A 26,635-nucleotide genomic window follows, 5' to 3' on the forward strand; every position below is an offset into this window, starting at 1 on the left:
AGCAGACATTTGCTTTTGTACATTTTCCTTTGTTTTCAATGGAATTGTAATTTATTTACAATTGTGCAGTATTTCATCTGAGCTAAAAATTAAACACTGCAACTTTAGAAGCTCTGAAGAATTTCCAAGCACTAATTTTCCCTATTTTTCATTTTACTTTTGTTTTCCTTTTGATGGGAGAAAATTGGCATAAACATCACATTCATTTGAGATTTCCAGGGAGACACTGGTCAGGATACATTATAATCCGTATGCCATTAAGATACTCTGTCTTACCTAACAAATGTTGAGCAACTGTAAATTTTAATCTGTTACATGCTGACAGAACTTGAGGTAAGTGATTAAAAAAATCAAGGGTGTTGTTGGTGCTAATCTTAATGGAGTAACTTTCTCAAATGTCTGGATTTATAATTTCTAAATTTTGCCTCCTTAGTAATGACTGTCTGGAAGTCCAGTGAAACAAAAACATTGTGCCCAATTAAGAGCAAGTTTGATTGAGTAAGGAGAGAAACATGGTGATTCCAAGAATGAAAGAAAGCCATAGACGGCAACAAATTCACAGAAGCACATGAGTAGGGTAAAAACATGGTCATTACAGATTAGCTGTACACCTACATTTATATCCTCAAAAACTGTGTGTCCTTTGCAGTAAATATATAGTACTTTGGAAAAATAGATTGTACTGCAATCAAAGGTGAACAAGAATAACATGGACCAGAGATGTGTTAGTTATAACTTGGGACACATCAACAGAGAAACAGATATTTCCACATGTGGCTTGGTTGTTGGACAACTTCCATATGTGTTCTTCTGCTTTGATTAGGAATCCATTCATTAATTTGGTATAACTGAATGTGTACCTTTATTAAATGCTAAATGATATGGACTTTAAACTACCTTATTATGTAGCATATTAACTGCATTTAGATGCATCTATATAAGGATTAGAATTTAATCCAAACAACACTTGACATTCTAATGGCATAAAATGAAATCTGATTAAACATTACTTTCAATTGTGTAATGTTTTAGAAATAAAATATTTTGAGTCCTAAAAAACACTATTCTTTCCATTTCAGATTTGATTTTCCAAATTCTACTTTGTGTTTCCAACTTTGTTTCCTAACAAGTTTGGTTGAGAATAAGGTAAGCACAAATGTGGACATGTGGCATCTATAAGCTGCCTTTTTTCCCCCTTTCCTGTCCTTTTTGACCTGACTTATTGAAAGGAGTTTGAGGTGGGGAAAGAAAGAAGCAGCACGTGTGTAAGATTGTTTTGACTGGGGAAGGAACATCAATTCACTTGCAGGTACACACCCACAGTGGTTCTGGGCACACGGCTGGGCACGCTCTGCTTCATAGATGTTCTCAGTGTAACTACCCATGACACTACTCCATCTTGACGGGGCTCACTGAGAGCTTTCATCCTTTCAACTGAGTGAAGACATATTGTAACCTGGAGCATATCAGCCAGAAGCATGGTTGACAGGTTGGAGCTCCTAGATCCCTCACCCAGGACAGAAATTCTACGCTTCTTGTCTGCTAATAGCAAACCCCACCAGCCTTCCCTGTAACTTTCAGGAAAGTTTTCAGCAAACTATGGCTCATGAAACAGACCTGCTCATTGCCTGTTTCTGCATATCCAGTAGATAAGAATAATGTTTATATTTTGAAATGGTTGAAAACACTAAAGAATATTTTTCAATGTTCATAAATAAAGTTTTATTGGTACACAGACACATCCTCTTGAGTACATATTGTCTGTGGCTTTCTTGACACATGGTGAAGTGGAGTGGCTGTGATGGAGACCACATGTGGCACTCTCACAGCTTCACAACTGTGCTAGCCACTCTACAGGTCACAGCAATGCCCTTATAAACTGACCTTCCAACTGCTGCATGTACTTCTGTACTATGAATGGTTTATTTTAAATCTTCATAGTATACCCATCATGTCAAAACACGAAGAGAAAAGTGGACCTCAACTGCCATGCTTTTAGGGCACAGCAGAGTGTGGATTATTTTTATACAGATGAATGGCAGAGCATTGTGTTTCATATGCTGTGCACTCCAGTGGAGCTGAAAGGACTCCAGAAGCATCTATATGACCAGACCAGGCTCACATAAAATCGGCCCAACTCACAGGACAGCAGTGATCAGAAAAACAAAAAAACTTAAAACAGAACATCTCAACACAGAGAATTTATTCAAAAAATAAAAATACATTAAAATCAAGCTACAAGCAAAGTAACTTTCTGAATGGCTTGTTAGCCAAATGAGGAAAGCCATACACCAATTATTAGTTGATTAAATCATGGTTGATTGCAGCAGCCAGAGAAATGCATCAGAGCAAATAAGCTCATCTGAGACTGTTAGGTTTTTGGCTAGAAGAGATGTTCAAGAGTTGAGGGCAAATTATTTTTAATTTCTTTTTTTTTCACTCAATGACTCAACAAATGTTACTGTACTACTTAGTTGTTGTTTAAGAGTGAATAGTCTAAAGTGACTGAAAATTAGTCTCTATGAATTGTCTGCATGGAACAATTGCACACAAGAATATTCTGAAAGGATTTGGGAAGACAAAGATTCAGTACAATCTGAAGTGGAATCTGCTAAGATGTGTTACAACTGCAGGTGGTAAAACACATCAAGAAATATGAGGAGAAAAGGCTTAAACAACTTTACAACACTTGTGGAAATGTAAAGTGTTTAAAACTTATAATTATGTATTATATTATCAGTAGATACTTTGTAGAAAATATTTGAATCTATCACGTTATTAAACCAGTAGCATAAATGATGGACTTTATTCACTCTGGTATATTTAACTTTCATCCTTAAAGTTTTGTCAGAAACGGAAGCTACATGTCCTGAGCTGCCCTCCACACAGCAGCCACATGGCTCCATAGCAGTCAGGTTTTATCGTTGTTGTTGAGCTCAGGATGAAGACAAAATTTTCCAAATCATGAGTGAACTCCCATTCACAATTGCTTCAATGAGAATAAAATACCTAGGAATCCAACTTATAAGGGATGTGAAGGACTTCTTCAAGGAGAACTACAAACCACTGCTCAATGAAATAAAAGAGGATACAAACAAATGGAAGAACATTCCATGCTCACGGGTAGGAAGAACCAATATCGTGAAAATGGCCACACTGCCCAACGTAATTTATAGATTCAATGCCATCCCCATCAAGCTACCAATGACTTTCTTCACAGAATTGGAAAAAACTATTTTAAAGTTCATATGGAACCAAAAAAGAGCCCGCATTGCCAAGTCAATCCTAAGCCAAAAGAACAAAGCTGAAGGCATCACGCTACCTGACTTCAAACTATACTACAAGGCTACAGTAACCAAAACAGCATGGTACTGGTACGAAAACAGAGATATAGACCAATGGAACAGAACAGAGCCCTCAGAAATAATGCCGCATATCTACAACTATCTGATCTTTGACAAACCTGACAAAAACAAGCAATGGGGAAAGGATTCCCTATTTAATAAATGGTGCTGGGAAAACTGGCTAGCCATATGTAGAAAGCTGAAACTGGATCCCTTCCTTACACCTTATACAAAAATTAATTCAAGATGGATTAAAGACTTACATGTTAGACCTAAAACCATAAAAACCCTAGAAGAAAACCTAGGCAATACCATTCAGGACATAGGCATGGGCAAGGACTTCATGTCTAAAACACCAAAAGCAGTGGCAACAAAAGCCAAAATTGACAAATGGGATCTAATTAAACTAAAGAGCTTCTGCACAGCAAAAGAAACCACCATCACAGTGAACAGGCAACCTACAGAATGGGAGAAAATTTTTGCAACCTACTCATCTGACAAAGAGCTTATATCCAGAATCTACAATGAACTCAAACAAATTTACAAGAAAGAAACAAACAACCCCATCAAAAAGTGGGCAAAGGATATGAACAGATACTTTTCAAAAGAAGACATTTATGCAGCCAAAAAACACATGAAAAAATGCTCATCATCACTGGCCATCAGAGAAATGCAAATCGAAACCACAATGAGATACCACCTCACACCAGTTAGAATGGCGATCATTAAAAAGTCAGGAAACAACAGGTGCTGGAGAGGATGTGGAGAAATAGGAACACTTTTACACTGTTGGTGGGACTGTAAACTAGTTCAACCATTGTGGAAGTTGGCGTGGCAATTCCTCAGGGATCTAGAACTAGAAATACCATTTGACTCAGCCATCCCATTACTGGGTATATACCCAAAGGATTCTAAATCATGCTGCTCTAAAGACACATGCACACGTATGTTTATTGTGGCACTATTCACAATAGCAAAGACTTGGAACCAACCCAAATATCCAACAATGATAGACTGGATTAAGAAAATGTGGCACATATACACCATGGAATACTATGCAGCCATAAAAAATGATGAGTTCATGTCCTTTGTAGGGACATGGATGAAGCTGGGAACCATCATTCTCAGCAAACTATCGCAAGGACAAAAAACCAAACACCGCATGTTCTCACCCATAGGTGGGAATTGAACAATGAGAACACATGGACACAGGAAGGGGAATATCACACACTGGGGACTGTTGTGGGGTGGGGGGAGGGGGGAAGGATAGCATTAGGAGATATACCTAATGCTAAATGACGAGTTAATGGGTGCAGCACACCAACATGGCACATGTATACATATGTAACAAACCTGCACGTTGTGCACATGTATCCTAAAACTTAAAGTATAATAATAATAAAAAAAGACAAAAAAAAGACAAAGTTTTCTGAATGAGAACAATTTCTTCCTCCATTTTTATCAAACTCTAAATGACAATGGAATTGCTTGATACTATTTCTTAGTGAATTCAACCTAAGATTACAAGGCAAAAAAAATATATATGCAAAACTTTTCCTGAGGTAAACTAATTTTGGTGACAACTAACGTTTGAATCACAAGCAACATCAGCAGCTTTATACATTGCTCATCCTGTCAAAAGTTACAAGAAGCAGCAAGGTAGCCATTCCCACACACAATTAAAGCAGAAACATTTCTCAATCTCAAGCCACAGTTCCAGTTCCAGTAGTGTGTTTCAGACTTTGATACAAAAACAAAGGCAATTTCCACATTTCAAAATCCATTTAGCTGCCTTTGAGGAGCCTTTGTGTAACCTTCCATTGAAAGTGATTATTCTGCAATGTAATAAGATCTTAACAGGCAAATATCAAGTGTAAAATCTAATACCATTCTCTGAATGTTTATCAAACAATAAATATGTTCCATTAAAATCAAATACTTATGGATTTGTATGTTTGGCAGTACCTATTTGTGTGAAGAGACGTTTTCAAACATGAAATATGTGAAATTTCATTACAGATCAGCACTAACAGATTAATATTTGCAATTAATTTTGATGTTAGGGAATGCTAACTTTGAACCCCAAATAAAGTGTTGCCTTCCCCCCAAAATATAATTTCATTCTCTTAATCATAGATCTGTATTATAAGAAAATTACACTCAGTTTTTATTAGTATATTTTCAATGTTGCCTATGAAAAGACTGCATAAACTTGTGTTCTTTCTTATTCTCTAAGTACATACATAATATCCTCAGTTTTCCTTCCTGATCCACAAAGCCTAAAATATTTACTATTTGGCCTTTTACAAAAAAAAAATATTTGCCAACTCTTGCTCTAGATAATATCTGAGTACCCAAATTATACTTAATATCTTCAGCTACTATTCATATCTGCCATCATTTTATATGGTTTTATCATTCATAAAAAATTGATGGATAGATGGGTGAATGGATAATTTACTGTTTTATAATCTTTAAACAATAAAATCCATGGCCATTGGTTTACTGCTTTCCTAAAAGGAAAGTGGAGTCTTTATAAAATGTAATGATTGGGGAAGCAAGGGTCTCAGTAAGGACTTTCATCCAAATACAGGCTGTCACACTCATGTATCTGCAGATGGCAGTGTACATCTTTTTTCAAACAAAGGATTTTAGTTCAAATAATAGAACAAATAGCTATAACCAGTATACATAAATTATTATAAATTATTTCCTTTCAAATAGAAAAGAGAAGTCAAACTGACAAAATATATTTTTTAGATTGCCCTACAAATTGTAATAGCTTGTAATTTGCAAAATTATAATTTTATAGTGTTTTCTTACCAAGTCTAGAAATTTTATACCTAGATGTCTTGGAAATGTAATAAACTATTGTTAATATACCAAAGAAGAGCTTTTTTACTTTTCAAAAATCCAATACTTTGATTTGAAATAATGAAATGTCATTTCAACTTTATGTCTAAGTGTAATTTAAGTTGATTCCTAAATAAAATTTAACTTACAATTTTTAAAGGGTTCTTTATCCTAGAATGACCAAAAATTAAATTAAATTTTAAATCAAGCCTACAAAATAGAAATACAACGATAAGCCCAATGGGAACTTTAATTTGTAATGTTAATTCATTTAGCTACTTTACTCTAGAGGAGTCTAAGATTAGCAAAGCAAGAAAATGTTTAGTAAGAGCTACTGAGAGATCATAAGTCAATCCTACTGGCTTTCTAAACCACACATAAGCTAGATTTTAATGATGTTATTTAAAGGCTGTTTAAATGCTGCAAATGTGAACATTTTAACATTAGAATGCAATAGAAACTTTGTCTAGTTTTACCTCTTTAGATAGTAGAGGTAATGGCTTGAATCACCTTTGATTTTGTATTAAAAGAAAGTCATGTTTGACGTTTCAAGAAAGAATGTGAAAAAATAGTTCATGGCTAGTAGTTCTGAAGCAGTGTTTTCATGTTAAAAGAAAATCTGTGAAGATAGAAAACACATAGAAAACTAAGGCTAATAGAACAGTGATGCCAAAACATGTATGAGATCACCACCAACTCTAAAGGAGACGGACACTGCTTAAGAAAATATACTTTCACGAAATAAAGAATACATTAAAAAATTTTTTTCTAAACGTTCCAGTTACTTATTGTTGCACCATAAACTACTCTCAAACTTAGTGGTTTAAAATAATAACCATTTTCTGATATTTCACTGTTTTGTGGGTGAGTCTTCTGTTTCGTGTTGTGCTGACAGCAGTCACCCTGTGGTGCTTGGTTGGGGGCGGGCTCAGCAGGAATTTCTGGGGGCACCTAGACAGTCTCCAGCATGGTGGCCTCAGTGAGGTGGGCCCCTCACAGTGCAGCTCAGTTTCCAAGAGAGAATGTTCTGGCAAACAAAGTATTACTAGAAGCTGTATCTGTTTCTATGGCTTGGCCCTGGAAATTGTACAGCCTCCTTCCTGCCATGCACAATTGGTCAGAGTGGTCCCGGGACGCCCAGGCTTAAGGGGAGGGAACACAGATGCCCACCTCTCGAGGAAAGAAGTGTTGAAGGATTTGCAGCCATGTTTCAAAATTCTAGATTCAGAGCCCCAGTGTTCATTCCCTAATTCAAAATTTTGGGGAGTTGTATAAACTGAAGTAGGTCTCATTTATCCATGTTGACACATTTACATGGATTCAAAGGCAGTAACTTCCAGAAAACAACCAGGCACTAAGTAGGAGAGTCTCGGAACAGAACATTCTATGCAGTAATTACTTATAAACAATGTGTTTATTTATAAGTAATTACTTATAAACAATGTGTTTATTTATAAGTAATTACTTATAAACAATGTGTTTATTTATAAGTAATTACTTATAAACAGCAACATGTGCTGGAAACTGTGGTCAGTCATTCACTTGTTTAACATAGACTGTCTACCTCTGCCAATCCCTGTGCCAATAGACATGGGCACAGCCCTAAAGAGAAAATGTCTCTGCTGTCATTACTCACAGCATTAAAGCTCTAGACAGTACAGGAGGAAAAAGCAGCACTTCTGTAGAACAGAGCCACTGAAAGACATGGCATTGCACAGTGGGCTTTAGCTCTTATCTCAGAACTGCGGGACATACAATTAGAGCAAAAGGGAATAGCAGCTGGCAATCTACATTGATTGCTGACTGATTCCAAGTCTGGATAAGGTTCACGTTATTTCAGGATGGATGAAGAGAGGAAACAATAAAAACCACACCTCCACAACAAAAAACTAACAAGACTATTGTAAGAATATATATATTATTCTTATATACATACACATATACATATATAGATATGGTAGTTTACATCTTTTTTCAAACAAAGGATTTTAGTTCAAATAATAGAACAAATAGCTATAACCAGTATACATAAATTATTATAAATTATTTCCTTTCAAATAGAAAAGAGAAGTCAAACTGACAAAATATATTTTTTAGATTGCCCTTCAAATTATAATAGCTTATAATTTGCAAAATTATAGTGTTTTCTTATCAAATGTAGAAATTTTATACCCAGATGTCTTGGAAATGTAATAAACTATTGTTAATATACCAAAAAAATGTGTATATACACATACAAATATATATGTATATATATAATATGTATTTTTTCCCCAACTATATATATATTTATATATTTGGGGGAAAAATATATATATAAAATATAGATATTAAAATATATGTCTAGGTCAATAATAAACATTAATTTTTTAATAAAAAATGATCAAACAAATCCCTCAATATTTTAAAAGGTTAATACACTAAGAGCAAGTTGGATTTATTCTAGGAATAAAAGGTTGGCTTAACATTGTTAAAGACATCATTCTAATCGTTCTTACTATAACAGAAAAAAAGAGAATATATATATATATATATATGATCATTTCAATAGCTTCAGAAATAGCATGTGTTAAAATTTAGCATACATTCTTAGCAAACAAGGAATAAAAGGAAATTTTTTATTTGACAAATAGTAATTACAAAAATAATAATTACTTTTTATTTTATTTTAAAAATAAATCTACAGCAAACATCAAACTTAGTGGTGAAATGTTGAGAGCTTTCCCTACGAGATTGGAAACAAGATCTCACCACTTGCATTTAATACTAATATATGCACATAAGAAAGACTAAAATTAAATTTAAAAGACTGATAACACTAATTGTTGGTAAGTATGTGGAGAAACAAACTCTCATTCATGGGTCGTGGGTCTTTAAATTAGTACAACTTCTTTGGAAAACTCCCTTAATTTACTAAAGCTGAAAATACACATAGCTATGACCCACCGAGTCCTGTCCTAACTGTGTATCAACAGAAATGTGTGCGTGTGTGCAGCAAAAGAAATGGAGAAGGAGACCCGGGGCAGTCTTACAATGACCAAAGCATAAAACTCTACTGTGTGCTATTCGTAGCAAGTTCAAAACAGGAATACATAGGCTTTAGGAATGTGTGCCTTTAAAATTAAAAATAAAATGAAAGCGGTAATGATCATAAAAGCTAGAATAATGAATACTGAATAGCTTTTAGGGAAATGGATACAGATCTTATTGGGACAAAGCTCAATTATAAGTTATTGGGTTATGCATGTCTGTTTTGTATGAATTTCATAAATGTCAGAATTAGATGTCAAAGTTACCATTATTTACACATGAGTACTTATTTTAAAAACTTAAGAGTGGTATATGAATAAAAGTGTTCAGTAAAATCATAATTTGGTAATTGAAAGCCTTTCTTTGTGCCAACAAAATATTCTTAGAAAAGGTAATGGATAAAGGTAATGATTAAAATAGACTTTATGGATAACTTCAGCCAAATATAATAAATATAAATAAGCATATATTTTATTATATACTTAACTATTATAAACATTTAAAATATAAGTAAAGTAACAGTAAAATAAAAGGGATAAATTTAAAATTTGTGAAGGATATATATTATATATATTTAATAATTTTAAAAGATACATAAGAAAACACAAATAAGCAGAAAAGTGTATTATGCCCCCAGTTGACATATTCAAATTATAAAGATCTTAATTCACTGCAAATTGATCTATGAGTTGAATGTAATCAATCATTCAATAACTTCAATGTGAATAAGTAACTCCAGCATTCATCTGGAAATATAAATACAAAAATAGCTAAGAGGAGAACGGTAGAAAAATAAGAAATTCCAACTTTCACCATTCCATAAAAGCAATAAGAAAACTGTCAAAAACTGTCAGAATCAACTTTCTTCAGAACTCTGAAAATTCACCAAAGGGCTGCAACAACTGGAAGAGCCCTTACTCAACATAACAGCTGAATCCTGAATCTGCTGTAGTAAGAAATAAGGATCACAAGATTTGCTGCATTTTGACTTTCTCCAGCTCCATTTTCAACTCCCTAGCTCAACGGTAAGGAGCCATGAAAATAAGTACCTGCATTCCATGTACTGGATGGAGCAGAACAGATCTCATTCACAAAGACTTTAATAATTTACTGTGACCTATCTGATGCCTCCCTGGAAGACTGGCTTAAAAGGCTTGTCTTTCTCTCACCTGACTCAGAACTCCTCCAGAACTCCTCCAGGGGGGCTAATTCTGCTGCGGTGGGGAATGGGCGGTGGGGACATTTGTCTAAAACATTTACAGATGAATGTTTTAGTTGCTGCTTCCTGTTGGGGAAGACGATGTACAAACCAAAAACCTTGAGAGGGAAGACTGCTGACGGGAGATGTCCATAGGGCTTAAAAGTTCTATTACATCCTGGAAATCTAGAAGGTCATGTGTGTCCCCAAGAGCTGGGCATGCTAACAAAGAACCTGAGACGGCTCTGAAGGCTCTCTGAATAAATGATGGGTAAGACAGAACTGCAAACTGCCTGGCTGAGAGTTAAAGGCATGCTCCAACACACACACACACACACACACACACACACACACACACACACACACACCCCTCCCTTAGCAAAGACTGAAAGATGTGTTGGTTCCAGGCATTTAGGAAAACATCTGTCCTGAGTGAATGCTGAAATGAGGTAAGACTTTGGGGGACTATTGAGAAGTCATGACTGTATTTTGCAATGTGAGAAGGACCTGAGATTTGAGGCTGGGCAGAAGGAGGGGTAGAATGATGTAGTTTGGATTTCATGTTGAAATGTAATCTCCAATGTTGGAGATGGGGCCTGGTGGGAGGTGTTTGGGTCATGGGGGTGGATCCTTCATGGCTTGATGCTGTCTTTGCAATGGTGAGTGAGTGCTCTTGAGATCTGGTTAAGTGTGTGGCACTTCCCCACCACCAACTCTCTTTCTCTTGCTCCAACTCTGCCATGTGACACATCTGCTCCTACTTCACCTTCATCCCTGAGTTAAAGCTCCCTGAGGCCTCCCCAGAAGCTGAGCAGATACCAGCACCATGCTTCCTGTAAAGCCTGCGGAACCATGAGCCAATTAAACCTCTTTTCTTTATAAATTACCCAGCCTCAGGTATTTCTTTATAGCAACACAAGAACAGCCTACCACTGGGGGAACAGAGTGAAGCCAGCCTGCTTCCACATCATCATTTTGGAACTGAGAGTCTATAACTATTGTTTATAGTTATTGCTTTTTGCACCTGTATAATAAAAGATTAAAAAACTAAAAGAAGTTACAACAAAAATACATTTATGCTATCTTTTATATTTACCTATTTAGTTACCTTTCTTCATGTGGGTTTGAGTTATTTTCTATTCAACTCAAAAGACTCCCTATGGCATTGGTTATAGGGAAGTTCTGGCAACAATGGACCCTCTTAATTTTTGTTTATATTGGAATGCCTTAATTTCTTCTACATTTTTGAAGGATCATTTTGCTGGATATAGAATGATTGGTTGAACTTTTTATTTTTCAGTATTGGACCTCATTGCCTTTTAGACACCATGGTTTCTAATGAGAAATCAACTGATAATCTTGTTCAAGATTGCTTGCATGTGATAAACCACTTATGTCTTGCTGCTTTCAAAAATTGTCTCTCTGTCTTTTGGCACATTGCTTATGATGTGTCTAGGTACAGATAACAGAGTTTATCCTACTTGAAGTTTGTTGCAACTTTGAAACCCAGCAAGGCAGTCATTAAATCTTAAAGTTCCAAAATAATCATCTTTTCCTTTATGTCCCACATGCTGGGAACACTACTGCAAGAAGTGGGTGACCAAGGCCTTGGGAAGTTCTGCCCCTATGGGTTTGCAGGCTTCAGACCCAATGGCTGCTCTCACAGGTTAGAACTGAGTACCTGCAGCTTTTCTAGGCACAGGGTGCAAGCTGCCAGTGATCTACCATTCTGGGGTCTAGAGGGCAGCACCCCATTCCCACAGCTCCACTAAGCAGAGCCCTCTTGGGGACTCTGTGTGGGTCTAGCAACCCTGAATTTCCCCTCTGAACTGCCCTAGTAGAGGTTCTACATGGGGACTCTGCCCCTGCAGCAGGCTTCTGCCTGGCATCCAGCCTTTTTCATATATCTTCTGAAATCTAGGCCAAGCCTCCTTCACTCTTGCACTCTGCATTCCTACAGGCTTAATGCCACATGGAAGCCACCAAGGCTTATGGCTTGTGCCCTCTTAAGTGACAGCACAAACTGTACCTGGGGTCCTTTGAGCTGTGGCTGGAGCTAGAATGGCCTAGATGCAGGCAGCACTGTTCCAAGACTGCACAGGGCAGTGGGGCTCTGGGCCTAGCCCATGGAATCATTCTTCTCTCCTAGGCTTCTGGGGCTATGACAGGAGGGGCTGCCTCTTAGATCTCTGAAATGCCTTTGAGGCCTTTTTCCCATTGTCTTGGCTGTCTTTTAGTTATGCAAGTTTCTCTAGGAAGTGGTTGCTCAGCAACCTGCTTGAATTCCTCCCCTGAAAATGCTTTTTCTTTCTCTGCCACATGGCCAGGCTGCAAATTTTCCAAACTTATATGCTCTGTTTCTTGTTCCAATACAAATTCCAACTTTAAGTCATTTCTCTGCTCCCGCATCTGACCAAAGCCTGTTAGAAGCAGCCAGGCCACATCTTGAACACTTTGTTGCTTAGAAATTTCCTTTACCAGATACCCTAGGTTGTCACTCTGAAGTTCAAATTTCCACAAGTCCCTAGGGCACAAACAGAATGCAGCCAACTTCTTTGCTAGGGCATAACAAGGGTGACCTTTGCTCCAGTTCTCCATAAGTTCCTCATTTCCATCTGAGACTTCATCAGCCTTCACTGTCCATAGCACTATCAACATTTTGGTCATAACCATTTAACCAGTCTCTAAGAAGTTCCAGATTTTCCCTTATCTTTCTGTTTTCTTCTGAGCTCTCCAAACTCTTCCAAGCTCTGCCTGTTACCCAGTTCCAAAGTCCCTTCCACATTTTCAGATATCTTCACAGCAATATCCCACTCTTCAGTACCAATTTTCTGTGTTAGTTCATTCTTGTATTGCTAAAAAGAAATACATGAGACTTGGCAATTTATTAAGAAAAGAGGTTTAATTGGCTCACAATTCTGCAGGATATACAGGAAGCATGGCACTATCATTTTCTTGGCTCCTGAGGAGGACTCAGGGAGCTTTAATTCATGGCAGAAGGCAAAGCAGGAGCTGGCACATTATGTGGCAGAACAGGTACAAGAGAGAATGGGGGGTGGGAAGGTGCCATATACTTAAACAACCAGATCTCATAAGAACTCACCCACTATTGTAAGGAGAGCACCAAGCCATGAGAGATCTGCCCTCATGACCCACACACCTCCCACCAGGCCCTCCCTCCAATGTGGGGGATTACATTTCAACATGAGATTTGGGTGGTGGGAATATCCAAACTATATCACCCCCCAACCAACAAAAACAAAAATAAATATACACACCAATATTATCCCCATCAACATCTCAGAACTCAAATATGAAGATGAGATAGTTCTTGGGGCCACAGAGAAGTGAAAAAACTCTGAGACAACAGTGAGAGAACTGGACTTCCTCATCTGTGATGGTTTTCCCCCATCTTCTTGACATGAAGTACATGGAAAATCTCCCCCCAACTCATGGTTTCTACACACACAAAAAAGTGAGATTGAGGTGGACGACCAGCTTCCCCACCATCTTGAACTACTTGACAGGAGACCTCTCCCTCCCTAAACCCCTGGGAAGCATCAGGAGTGCCCGAAAAGAAAAATATCCCTATGAAGAGCCAGAGACAAAAGGGGGAAGTGGGACTACCATCCCACCCTAGAAATTTTTCTCTGTAGCTTGACAAAAAGAGATACCAAATCGGAGTGGCTGCTCAGCATCACCACACTGTAGGAGGTTTATTCCATTACTCCCCAGGGCATGAACCCATAGCCAGCTTCCCACACTGCTGGAATATCCCTTTGGCATTTCTCCTGTTCAGGATAAGTGGTACTCTGATTATTTACTAGAACTGAGGCAAACCTGAGCTTAAGGCACCATCTAGTGCCAAAAAGGAGGCAGCAACATAGCAGATTGTTTTTAACAAAAAGAAAATTGAAAAGTAAATTACAAAGAATTTTTTAGTAAACATATCTGATAAAAAATCAAAACAAACCAGATAGAGAATACTGGAATAAATAATACTTCAATACAAAGACACAGATGTACATGCACACGAAACAACAGCAAACAGGGAACCATGACTACCTCAAACATACAAAGCTGGGAACCAGTGACTGACTCTCACAAGATGATGATAATGTGAACTCTCTCACCAAGAATGCAAAGTAGCAGTTTTAAGGAAACTTGGTGATCTTCAAGGTAACACAGAAAAGCAATTCAGAAATTTATCAGAAAAAATTAACAAAGCGATTAAAGAGAAAATCTTGGAACTGAGAAATACATTTGCTGAACTGAAAAAAATCATGAGAGGCTCTCAACAGTAGAATGGATCAAGCAGAGGAAAGAATCAGTGAGTTCAAAGACAGGTTACCTGAAATACAGAAAGAGAAAAAAAGGAAAAAAATGAAAAGCAATGAAGAATGCCTATAAGACATGGAAAACTACCTCAAAAGATAAAATCTAAGAATTATTAGTGTTCAAGTTGAACAAGTTGAACAAGAACAAGGAGGTAGAAAGCTTATTCAAAGACATATTAACAGAAAACTTGCCAAACTTTGAGAAAGAGATAAATATCCAGGTAAGGGAAGGTCAGAGAACATCAAACCGATTTCACTCAAATAAAGCTACCAAAAGGCACATAATAATCAAACTCTTAAACCTCAAGGAAAGAGAGATAATCCTAAAAGCAGCAAGAGAAAAGTAAATAAAATGTAAAGGAGATCCGATTCATCTGGCAACAGACTTCTCAGTGGAAACTGTACATGCCAGGAGTGAGTAGGATGACATTTTCAAAGTGCTGAAAGAAAAAAAAAATAACTTATATCCAAGAATATTGTCTCCATAAAGCTATCTTTCGAATATGAAGAAGAGACAAGGTCTTTCCCAGATAAACAAAAGCTGAGATAATTCACCACCAGGAGACCTGTCTATAAGAAATGCTAAAGAAAGGTCTTCAATCTAAAGAAAAAAATAAAAAACACTTAACATGCAAGAAGAAAGCATTTCAAGGTATTAAACCCACTGATACAATTTAGTGCATTAGACAAACCCAAAATGCTCTACTACTATAATTGTGGTGTTCAGTCCACTCATAACAATAGTATGAAGCCCAAAAGACAAATATTTCAAAAACAATAATAGCTACAGCGGCCTTTTAAGAAACAGGTAACGTAAAAAATATGTAAATTGAGACTACTAAAAGTCAAAATAGATGGAGCTTAAAATGTAGAGTATTTTTTTCTTTGTTTCTATTTTTTCTTTGTGATCTAAGTTGTCATTTATTTAAAATAACTTATTATATCTATGTGTTTTGTAAGCCTCATAGTAACCACAATGCAAAAACCTATAAAAGAGTGACAAAAAATTAAAAGCAACAAATTAAAACATACTACCAGAGGAAATCACTTAAACACAAAGGAAGACAGAAAGAAAAAAAGAAGAGAGGGGTTACAAAACAACCAGAAAACAAGCAAAGAGAGGGGTTACAAAACAACCAGAAAACAAGCAAAAAATGGCCATTGTAAGTCTTCACTTATCAACAATAACACTGAATGTAAATGGACTAAATTCTCCAATTAAAAGGCATAGAGTGGCTGAATGAATAAAGAAACATGACCCAACTATATGCTGCCCACAGGAAATTCACTTCCTCTATAAAGACACACAGACTGAAAGTGAAGGGGTGGAAAAAGATATTCCATATAACTAGCAACCAAAAAAGGTCAAGAGTAGCTATACTTATATCAGATAATAGACTACAAATCAAAGACTGTAAAAAGAGACAAAAACACTATATAATGATAAAGGGGTCAATTCAGCAAGAAGATATAAAATCATAAATATCTACGCACCCAACACCATAGCTCCCAAGTATATAAACATTAATAAATCTAAAGGGAGAGATAGATTGTAATGTAATAATAACAGGGAACTTCAATACCCCATTTTCAGTAATGAACAGATCATCCATACAGAAAATCAACAAATATTGGAGTTAAGCTACACCCTTGACCAAATAGGCCTAAATGTCATTTACAGAACATTTCACGCAGTTGCTGCAGAATACATACTCCTTTCATCAGCACATGGAACATTCTACAGAACAGATCATATCATAGAACACAAAACAAGTATCAACAAATTCAAAAATTAGAAATCATATCAAGTATCTTTTTTGACCACAATGAAATAAAACTAGATATCAATAACAAGAGAAACCTTGGAAAATACACAAACACATGAAAATCAAACAACATGCCTCTAAATGACCAATGGATCAATGAATAAATTAAGAAGAAAATTTAAAAATATCTTAAAAAAATAAAATGTAATATACCAAAATCTATGGATATAGCAAAAATAGTACTAAGAGGGAAGTTTATAGGAATAAACTTTCTTCATAATTCAAAAAAGTAGAAAGGCTTCAAATAAACCACCTAACAATGTTCCTCAAAGAAAGAGGAAAGAAAGAATAAACCAAACCCAAAATTAGTAGAAGGAAAATAATAAAGATCAGAGGAAAAATAAATGAATGAGATTTAAAAAGCAATAAAGAAAATCAACAAAATGAAAAGTTGGTTTTACTGACAAACATTTGGCTAGACTAAGAAAAATAGAGAGAGAATCCAAATAAACAGTATCAGAAACACAAAAGAAAACATAACAACTGGGACCACAGAAATACAAAGACTCATTAGAGACTATTATGAACAATGATATGCCAACAAATTGAAAAATCTAGAAGAAACGGATAAATTTCTGGACACATGCAATTTATCAAGACTGAACCATGAAGAAATAGAAAACTTCAATAAACCAGTAATGAGTAATGAGATCAAAGCTGTAATAAAAAGTATTCCATTAAAGAAAAGCCCACAATCTGTTGACTTCACTGCTGAATTCTATCAAACACTAAATTAAGAACTTATACCAATTTCACTCAAACTTTTAAATAAAATTGAAGAGGAGATAATACTTCTAAACTCATCCTATGAGGCCAGCATTACTCTGATATCAAAACCAGACAAGGACACAACAAAAAAGAAAACTACAGGCTAATATCCACGATGAATATAGATGTGAAAATCCTCAGCAACACACTAGCAAACCAAATTCAACAACCCATTAAAAAGATCATTCACTGTGGTCAGGTGGGATTCATGGGATTCATCCTGGGGATGCCAACATATACAAATTAATAAACAGGATACATCACATCAACAGAATTAAGGATAAAAACTATGTCATCATTTCAATAGATGTTGGAAAATCATTTGATAATACTAAACATCCTTTTATGATTAAAAAAACCCTCAACAAACTAGGTATAGAAGGAACATACGTCAAAATAATAAAGGCTATATATGACAAAACCACAGCTAACACTGTACTGAATAAGTAAAAATTGAAACCCTTTCCTCTAAGATTTGGAACAAAACAAGAATCTCTACTTTTACCATGTTTTTTCCACATAGTCCTGGAAGCCCTGGCCAGAGCAATTAGGTAAGAGAAAGAATTAATAGACATAATAGGTAGGGAAGAAGTCTAATTAGCTTCATTCACAAATGACATGATCTTGTACTTAGAAAAACCTAAAAACTCAACCAAAAAACTCTTAGAACTGATAAAGTCAGTAAAGTTGCAGGATACACAATCAACTTTAAAAAATCAGTAGTATTTATATACACCAACAGCAAACAATCTTAAAAAGAAATCAAGAAAGCAATCCCATTACAATAGCTACAAAGAATATAAAATGCCTAGGAATCAATTTATCCAATGTGGTGAAAGATCTAATAAGGAAAAATATAAAACAATGATGAAAGAAACCGAAGAGGACATTTTAAAATGGAAAGATATTCCATGCTCATGGATTGGGAGAATTAATATTGTTAAAATAATTCTACCCAAAGTAACTTACAGATTCAATGCAATTCCTATTAAAATTCCAGTGAAATTCTTCACAGAAATAAGAAAAAATTTTCTAATATTTATATAGACCCACAAAAGACTCCAAATAGCCAATGTAATCCTGAGCAAAAAGAACAAAGCTGAAGGTGTCACACTCACCTGACTTCAAAATATCCTCCAAATTTATAGTAACCAAATCAGCATTGAACTGGCATAACAACAGGCACATAGAGCAATGAAACAGAATAGAGACCCAGATATAAATCCAAACATTCACAGCCAACTCATTTTTGACAAAGGCAGCAAAAAGTTGCAATGGAGAAAGGACAGTCTCTTCAATAAATGGTGCTGGGAAAACTGAATAACCATATGCAGAAGAATGAAACTGAACCCCTATCCCTCCTCATATACAAAAATCAAATAAAAATGGATTAAAGACTTAAATCCAAGACCTGAATCTATGAAACTACTGGAAGAAAATATTGGGCAAATGCTCAAGGATTGTGGTCTGGGCAAAGATTTTTTTGTGTAAAATCGCAAAAGCACAGGCAACCAAAGCAAAAATAGACAAATGGAAAGACATCAAGGTAGAAAGCTTTTGTACAGTAAGTGAAACATTAAGTGAAGAGACAACCCAGAGGATGGGAGAAAATACTTGCACATTATCTATCTGACAAGGAATTAATAACCAGAATATATAAGCAGCTGAAGCAGCATGATAGTAAAAATAAAAAATTAAATCCAATTAAAAAAAATCTGAATAGACGTTTCTCAAAAGAAGACATACAAGTAGCTAATAGGTATATGAAAAAATGCTCAATATCACTTATCATCAGATAAATGTACATTAAAACCACAATGAGATATCATTTCACCCCGGTTAAAATGCTTTTATCGGCCAGGCGTGGTGGTTTACGCCTGTAATCCCAGCACTTTGGGAGGCCAAGACAGGCGGATTGTGAGGTCAGGAGATCGAGACCATCCTGGCTAACACGGTGAAACCCCGTCTCTACTAAAAATACAAAAAATTAGCCGGGCGTGGTGGTGGGCGCCTGTAGTCCCAGCTACTCGGGAGGCTGAGGCAGGAGAATGGCATGAACCCGGGAGGTGGAGCTTGCAGTGAGCCGAGCTTGGGCCACTGTACTCCAGCCTGGGTGACAGAGCAAGACTCCATCTCAAAAAAAAAAAAAAGAAAAAAGAAAAAAAAAGCTTTTCTCAAAAAGACAGGGAATGACATATGCGGGCAAGGATGTAGAAAAAGAGGAACCCTAATACACTGTTGTTAAGAATATAAATTGGCACAGCCACTAAGGAAAACTGTATGGAGGCTCCTCAAAAAAATTATAAATAGAATTACCATATATATGATCCAGCCATCCACTACTGGGTATGTATCTAAATCAATATATCAAAGAGATACACGCACTCTCATGTTTATTACAGAACTATTCGCAACAGCCAAAATATAGAATCAATGTAAATGTCCATCAGTGGACAAATGGATAAAGAAAATGTGGTATATATACACAATGGAATATTGTTCAGCCATAAACAATGCAATCCTGTCACCTGCAGCAACATAGATGGAACTGGAAGTCACTCAGTGAAACAAGCCAGACACAAAAAGATAAATATTGCACATTCCCCCTCATATGTGGAGGACAGAAAAAAAGTGGATCTCATGAAGATAGATAGAGAATAGAGTGGTGGTTACCAGAGGCTGAGAAGGGCAGGGGAATGATGAGAAATCAATTAACGGGCACAAATGTACCACTGGATAGAAGAACTAAGACCTAGTGCTGGACAGGGCAGTAAGGTGGCTATAGTTTACAATAATACATTATGTGCAAATGGATCAGAGGCTTAAATGTCACAGCTAAAGCTATAAAACTCTTGGAACATAGGAGTAAATTTTCATGTTCTTGGCTTTAGCAGATGATTCTTTGATGTGACATCTAAAATAAGCATCCAAGGCCAGGCGCGGTGGCTCGCACCTGTAATCTCAGCAGTTTGGGAGGCCGAGGTAGGTGGATCATTTGAGGTCAGGAGTTCAAGACCAGCCTGGCCAACATGGTGAAACCCCACCTCTACTAAAAATACAAAAATCAGCCAGGCATGGTGGTGGGCGCCCATAGTCCCAGCTACTCGGGAGGCTGAGGCAGGAGAATCGCTTAAACCTGGGAGGCAGAGGTTGCAGTGAGCAGAGACTGCGCCACTGTACTCCAGCCTGGGTGACAGAGCAAGACTCTGTCTCAGAACAATAAATAAAAATAAAATAAGATAAAATAAGCATCCAAAAAAATAAATGAAATTAAAATTTTGCTTACTAAAAGATACTATAAGGAAAATGAAAAATCCACAGAATGAAAGAAAATAGTTGCCAGTTATATATTTGATATGAGTTGAATATATATTATTCAGAATAAATAAAGAATGATTAAAGCTCAAAAATAAATGTCAAATAACCCAATTTTAAAATGGGCAAATAATTTGAATAGACATTTCTCCAAAGAAGATATGCAGATAGCCAAGAAACACATGAAAAGATATTCAACATCATTAATTATTATGGAAATGCAAATCAAACCCTGAGGTACCACTCCGCATGAATAGTTATACTTTTTTAAAATGGAAAATAAGTGTTGGCAAAGATGTAGAGCAACTGGAATCCTTATACACGGCTAGTGGGAATGTAAAATAATGTAGCCACTGGTATAAAGGTTTAGCAATTCTTCCAACAGTTAAACGTAGAATTGCCATATGACCCAGAAATTCCACTCCTACATATACACAAATAATTGAAAAGATATGTTAACACAAAAAATTGTAAATAAATCTTCACAACAGCATTATTCACTATAGCCAAAAAGTGGAAACAACTCCAAAATACTACAACAGATAAATGGATAAACTGTGGTATATCCATACTTTGGAATTTTTTCAGCCACAAAAATTAAGTACTAATACATGATATAACACAAACCTTGAGAACATTAAGCTGCATAAAAGAGGTCAGACACAAAAGGCCACATATTGTAACATGTCACTTAATTGAAATATTTAGAAATCCATAGAAACAGAAATTAGACCAGTGGTTGCTAGATGATTCGGGAGTGGGGAATTGGGACTGACTGCTAATAGTTACAGGGTTTCTTTTCAGGGTGATTCAAGTGTCCCAGAATTAAACAGTGGTAATGGTTGCACAATATATGAATACACTCAAACCAAGTAAACTGCACAGTTAAAAATGATGAATTTTAAGTCATGTAAATTATATCTTAATAAAAATATCTAATAGAAATATACAATAAAATATTTACAGATGAAATGCTATTTGAGATTTACTTCAAAATAATTTTGTAATGGGGCTGGAGCAGATGAAAAGGGATTAGCTGGGTGTTACTGGTTTAAGCTGGTGATAGGAGCATATATTAAAATTTGTACAATAAATTTTGTAAAACGTCAGCTAAGTAAAAGATTTTTAAAAGGACATTGAGAAATATTTATTGTAAAGCTACATAATCAAAATTGATAGACTGGCTTTGAAATGAAAAACAACGTTAAGAAATAGACCAAATAATACCTAAAATTTGTCATATGACAAATTTGGCATTTCTAATTAATAAGGAAGAAATGATTCCTAACTGGGTACCTCACTAATCTTTAGAGAGAAAAATAAATGGGTAACAGCCTTACACAATACCATACATGCAAATATAATCCACAAGGATTAAGTTCCAAATAAAATTTAAAATATGTAAGAACAAATTACATAAATGTGCAATGTAAAGTTAGAAACATATTAATAAAGTTCTTCTACATCTAATAATAAAAATAGATCTAAGGACTTTTTACAATATCACGAACTGAAAAATTATTCTCATATGGAAAGGCATTACTGAAAAAAGAGTATTTCAATGAAAAAAGTTACTTAAACAGTGGATAAACAAAAACTGAAATACAAATGCCCAGTATACTAAATATGGTTCCATTTTTTGCGGTCTAACAACTGAAACCCTTTCTGATCCAGAGAAGTCCCTACTTTGGGTTTTTCAGGCAGGAAGTGAGTGGCTCCATCCATAAGAAGGGGAAGTATAAGTCACTTTCCCTCCTAGGCCCATCCAGCCTGGGCAAACAACTGTGATTTGTGTTAACAAACATCTTTAAAATAATATATACATTCTTTGAGACAGAGTTTTGCTCTGTCACCCAGGCTGGAGTGCAGTGGCACAATCTTGGCTCACTGCAACCTCTGCCTCTCAGGTTCAAGAGATTCTTGTGCCTTGACCTCCCAAATAGCTGGGATTACAGGCATGGGCCAACAGGCCTGGCTAATTTTTATATTTTTAGTAGAGACGGGGTTTCACCATGTTGGCCAGGCAGGTCTCGAACTCCCGGCCTCAAGTGATCCGCCCGCTTCAGCCTCCCAAAGTGTTAGGATTGCAGGTATGAGCCATCACACCTGGCCTAAAATAATTTTTATTGTTTGATGTAGACAAATAGTTTGCTCACAGTCTATTAGAAGATACACATGTTGGCCCAAACTTTTTGGAGAAAATTTGGCAATATGTATCAACAGCTATTAAACAGTGAAGACACTGACTCAGCAGTTACACTCCTAAAAAGTATTAAGAGAAAATACTCACCCTAGTATGAAAATGTGTTCACAGAGATGCTTATCATAGCGTTGTTTATATTTACAACACAAATTGGAAGCTACCTGAATGTACAATAGAACATGAATCAGATAAATTATGGTGCACCCACATAAAAGAATTATATGCAACCATCATAACTAAGGAGGTGAAAAATCAGGCTAAAAAACAGTATTTGCACTAGAATCTCATTTCACTATGTGCGTGTGCATATATGTGTGAATAGACGCATACACACCCACACATTCAGGGAGAGAATGAAGTTTACACGCTAGCACGTTAACGGTGGTGACCTCTGCGGGGGGGGGGGGCAGCTAATGCTAATAAGCTATTGTGTTTTTTCCCTTCGTTTGTTTCCTTTGTTTTGTCTATTTATAGTTTCTATTTTCCAAAATATGTTGTTTCTTTAAAAAGTAAGAAAACGTTTAGAAATAATATTTCTGAAGTTAAAAAATAATTACACCAACATACTATTTTTCTGTATCTGCATCTTACATTTCCCATAAAATAAATGCATATTCTACAAAGACTCTACTAAGAATAGAGGGTTTTTTAAATGGCCAAACTGCACTCATTAAATCAGAGTTATGCTTCACTTTTTAATTCAACTCTAGCTTGTCTTTCAGTAAATAACTGAAATAAACATATTTTGGACAGGCTCATTCAAATGGACCACCATTTAAAATATCTATTAGAATACTATAAGCACAAATCCTTCAAAATTTGCATAAGCTTTTAAATTGTGGGGTTTTATATGTAGAAAATTACATTGTATCTTTTCCCTTGGTATTATTTAGTTGTTTACTTTAAGGCTATTTATCCTTGAATGAAAAAAAAAATAGTTGCCATGTTTTTGTAATTCACAAACTTCAATAGCACTGTGCCATAACTAGAAATAATAGAATTAGATGTGTAATAGGAATCCTATGTGTTGAGTATAACTAAAATGCTGCAACCTATTTAAAGATTAATTTTTCAAGTTGGGTTTATAAATCATTTACAAAGAAATTGAGCAGAACTAAAATTACAGTCCAACTGTCACATTCCTGCGATGTGACCGCAGTGTGCTCGGGCTGGAAGCCACAGCAATGAGTGTTTGCAGAGCCGAAAGCTCTGCCAGACCATCAGGAACAAATATCTTCCACTGGCCAGATACTGGATCAACAACCATTAAATATAATACGAACCATCTTCCATGGCCATAGCTCAAAAGCTATGAACACAAACAGTTGCAAATATGTCACTGGAAACTCAGGCACCCTCACACTGATTGGTCCATGCACTGCACAAATTGCCTCCATTCTAGCTCAAGAGAAACCCCCATGACCTTTCAAAACAGAGATGAAAACAAGTCCTCAGTGACTAATTTTAGAGACCTGCCTTTTCTCTTGTCCCTCCTTTGATAAGTTTCTTGTTCTACGTATCAACATTTACAAATGCTGCTCTGTTTTCCACAAGCTGCACACACTAGGGCCTCCCCACCTCTGCTCCTCAGTATGCATGACTGTGTACATTTTAGGAGGGGATGTAAATGGCCTCAACTGTATGAAAGCATGACACAACCTTTGGGATGATTCTGTGGTTTCACTGGCTCACCCACGTTACATAGGAGACTGCAACGCATGGAGGTGGCCGATGTTTATGGCTGGTATAACGCAGCACCGCCCAGCAGCAGCTCAGCCTTCTTGAGGCCGGTGCCTCTCCACCCTCCCTCACTCACAGAACATCGAACCTCTCCATTCTGTAAACTCAATGAAAATAATGCATCCATAACAAAGGCTCAATTCTAAATTTACCAGGAGGCATAGGTCTAAATTCTGTGATTAGAGGTTACATTTCTAAGAATCACTGTAAACCTTCCTAACATTCATGCATGCACGTCTCATGTCTGAGATGCAGCCACATCCTTCCTCATGTTAAAAAGCTGATGTCTGGTCTGATCTCAGCCTCCCACACATAGCAGTGGCTTTGTATCAAATTCTACCCTTTCTGCCACAGCACCTAGCACTGCCTGACATGTTGTCTGTGTTTTTCACTAGATTAAGGTCCATGAAAACAGAATCTTGGCCAGCCCTGTTCACCTGTTTTCATGGCACTCATTAAATATGTGTTGAATGAATGGATATATGGATTACATTTTGTACATAAAAATGTACCTTCTTGACATTAGCATTTCAATAAGTGAATTGATGCTGGTTTTCTTTTCTTAGGTCCAGAGTTAGGAAGCAAGGAAGTTTTCTAGAATTAAGAATGACATTGAATCTTCATTTTTTTTCTACTGGAGTTCATTCGTGTTGATTCCTTCCTTAAACCAGTAAAGATTACTGCCTTTCAAAACCAAAGACAATTATATCTTAATCCCGTGGACATTGGGGAGCAAACACTGCTTCCAATCCATCTGAGGAACAGAAACATTTGGATAAGAGAAAGACAATTCAGTAGTAACTTGTCAAATACTTCCTGGCAGAGAGCAGATGGGCAGCAGACTCCTGCAGAATAGAGCTTGTTTCCCAGAAGCACCCCAGCATCCAGCTCGCTGAGTGTTACCTGCTCTACTCATGGTCTCATGGTCTGCAATCGACATGAAATCACAGCAGGTGCACAGGGCAGGTGAGGAGAATTCTGCAACATTAAACAGTTTGTTTTTTTTTTTTTTTTGAAATGGAGTGTCACTTTTTTGCCCAGGCTGGAGTGCAGTGGTGCGATCTCAGCTCACTGCAACCTCCACCTTCTGGTTTCAAGCGATTTTCCTGCCTCAGCCTCCCAAGTAGCTGGGATTACAGGCACCCACCACCATGCCTGGCTAATTTTTGTATTTTTAGTAGAGATGGGGTTTCACCATGTTGGCGACGATGGTCTCAAACTCCTCGTGATCCGCCTGTCTCGGCCTTTATTCTCCATGTAGCTTTGTCTTTGGATGTAACCAGTGTGATGTGTTAATTACTACTCTTTACAGTGGCAAAGGCAGATCTTGAAGGTTCTATTGTAATTTTCTTTTTTCCCAATAAAAGTATCTTTAAAGTCTTAAATAAACTAAAACATTTCAGCTGTATTTAAAGTTTAGATACAACAAATTATATACTTATCATTGTACATTTTTAATTTTAATACAAGTGAAAATTTTTGAATAATTATTTGAAGACATATAACCTTCAATTTTTTAAATTTCTTAACTTTTTCAAACTTATATTTTTTCAGGGAAAAACATTTAACATTTTTATACTTCACATAATTCCCTTATTTTTTAATACTTGGAGTCACTGAGAATGAGTACAAGATGAGACATTAATAGAAATAGAAAATACTAAAAATGGGAATCAAAAAGCAATCAAAATAGAAAATCTTCTCAAATAAGTTTACTTCATTTATTTCTAATTGCAAAAAAGAAAGCAGACATGGATTTTACCAAAGTCTATAACAAATTATTGAATAAAGATCTAATATTGAGTAGAAAATTTTTTTTTATCAAATCCATAACTTGAACAGAGCAGAGGGAACTGCCTCAACTTCCTATTTTTTATTATTAATAAATGAGAAATACATTGCCAGTCTTTTAGCAGAATACCCACAAATGCACAATGAAAATTACATTCAATTGTATTTGAAGTTTTGTTTACTTTAGTCATATAAATGAAATTTTATTTAGTTTCAATTTTTATGTGACA

General features: G+C 36.1%; 1 protein-coding gene across 12 annotated transcripts in view; it reads right to left on the reverse strand.

Annotated features, from left to right (window-relative positions):
- The window catches only part of WDR27 (WD repeat domain 27), a 275,610-nt gene that overhangs the window by 79,624 nt on the left and 169,351 nt on the right, over positions 1-26,635 (reverse strand). The window lies entirely within an intron of this gene.

The sequence above is a fragment of the Homo sapiens genome, chromosome 6 (genome assembly GCF_000001405.40).
Source record: "Homo sapiens chromosome 6, GRCh38.p14 Primary Assembly".
NCBI classification, from domain to species: Eukaryota; Metazoa; Chordata; class Mammalia; order Primates; family Hominidae; genus Homo; species Homo sapiens.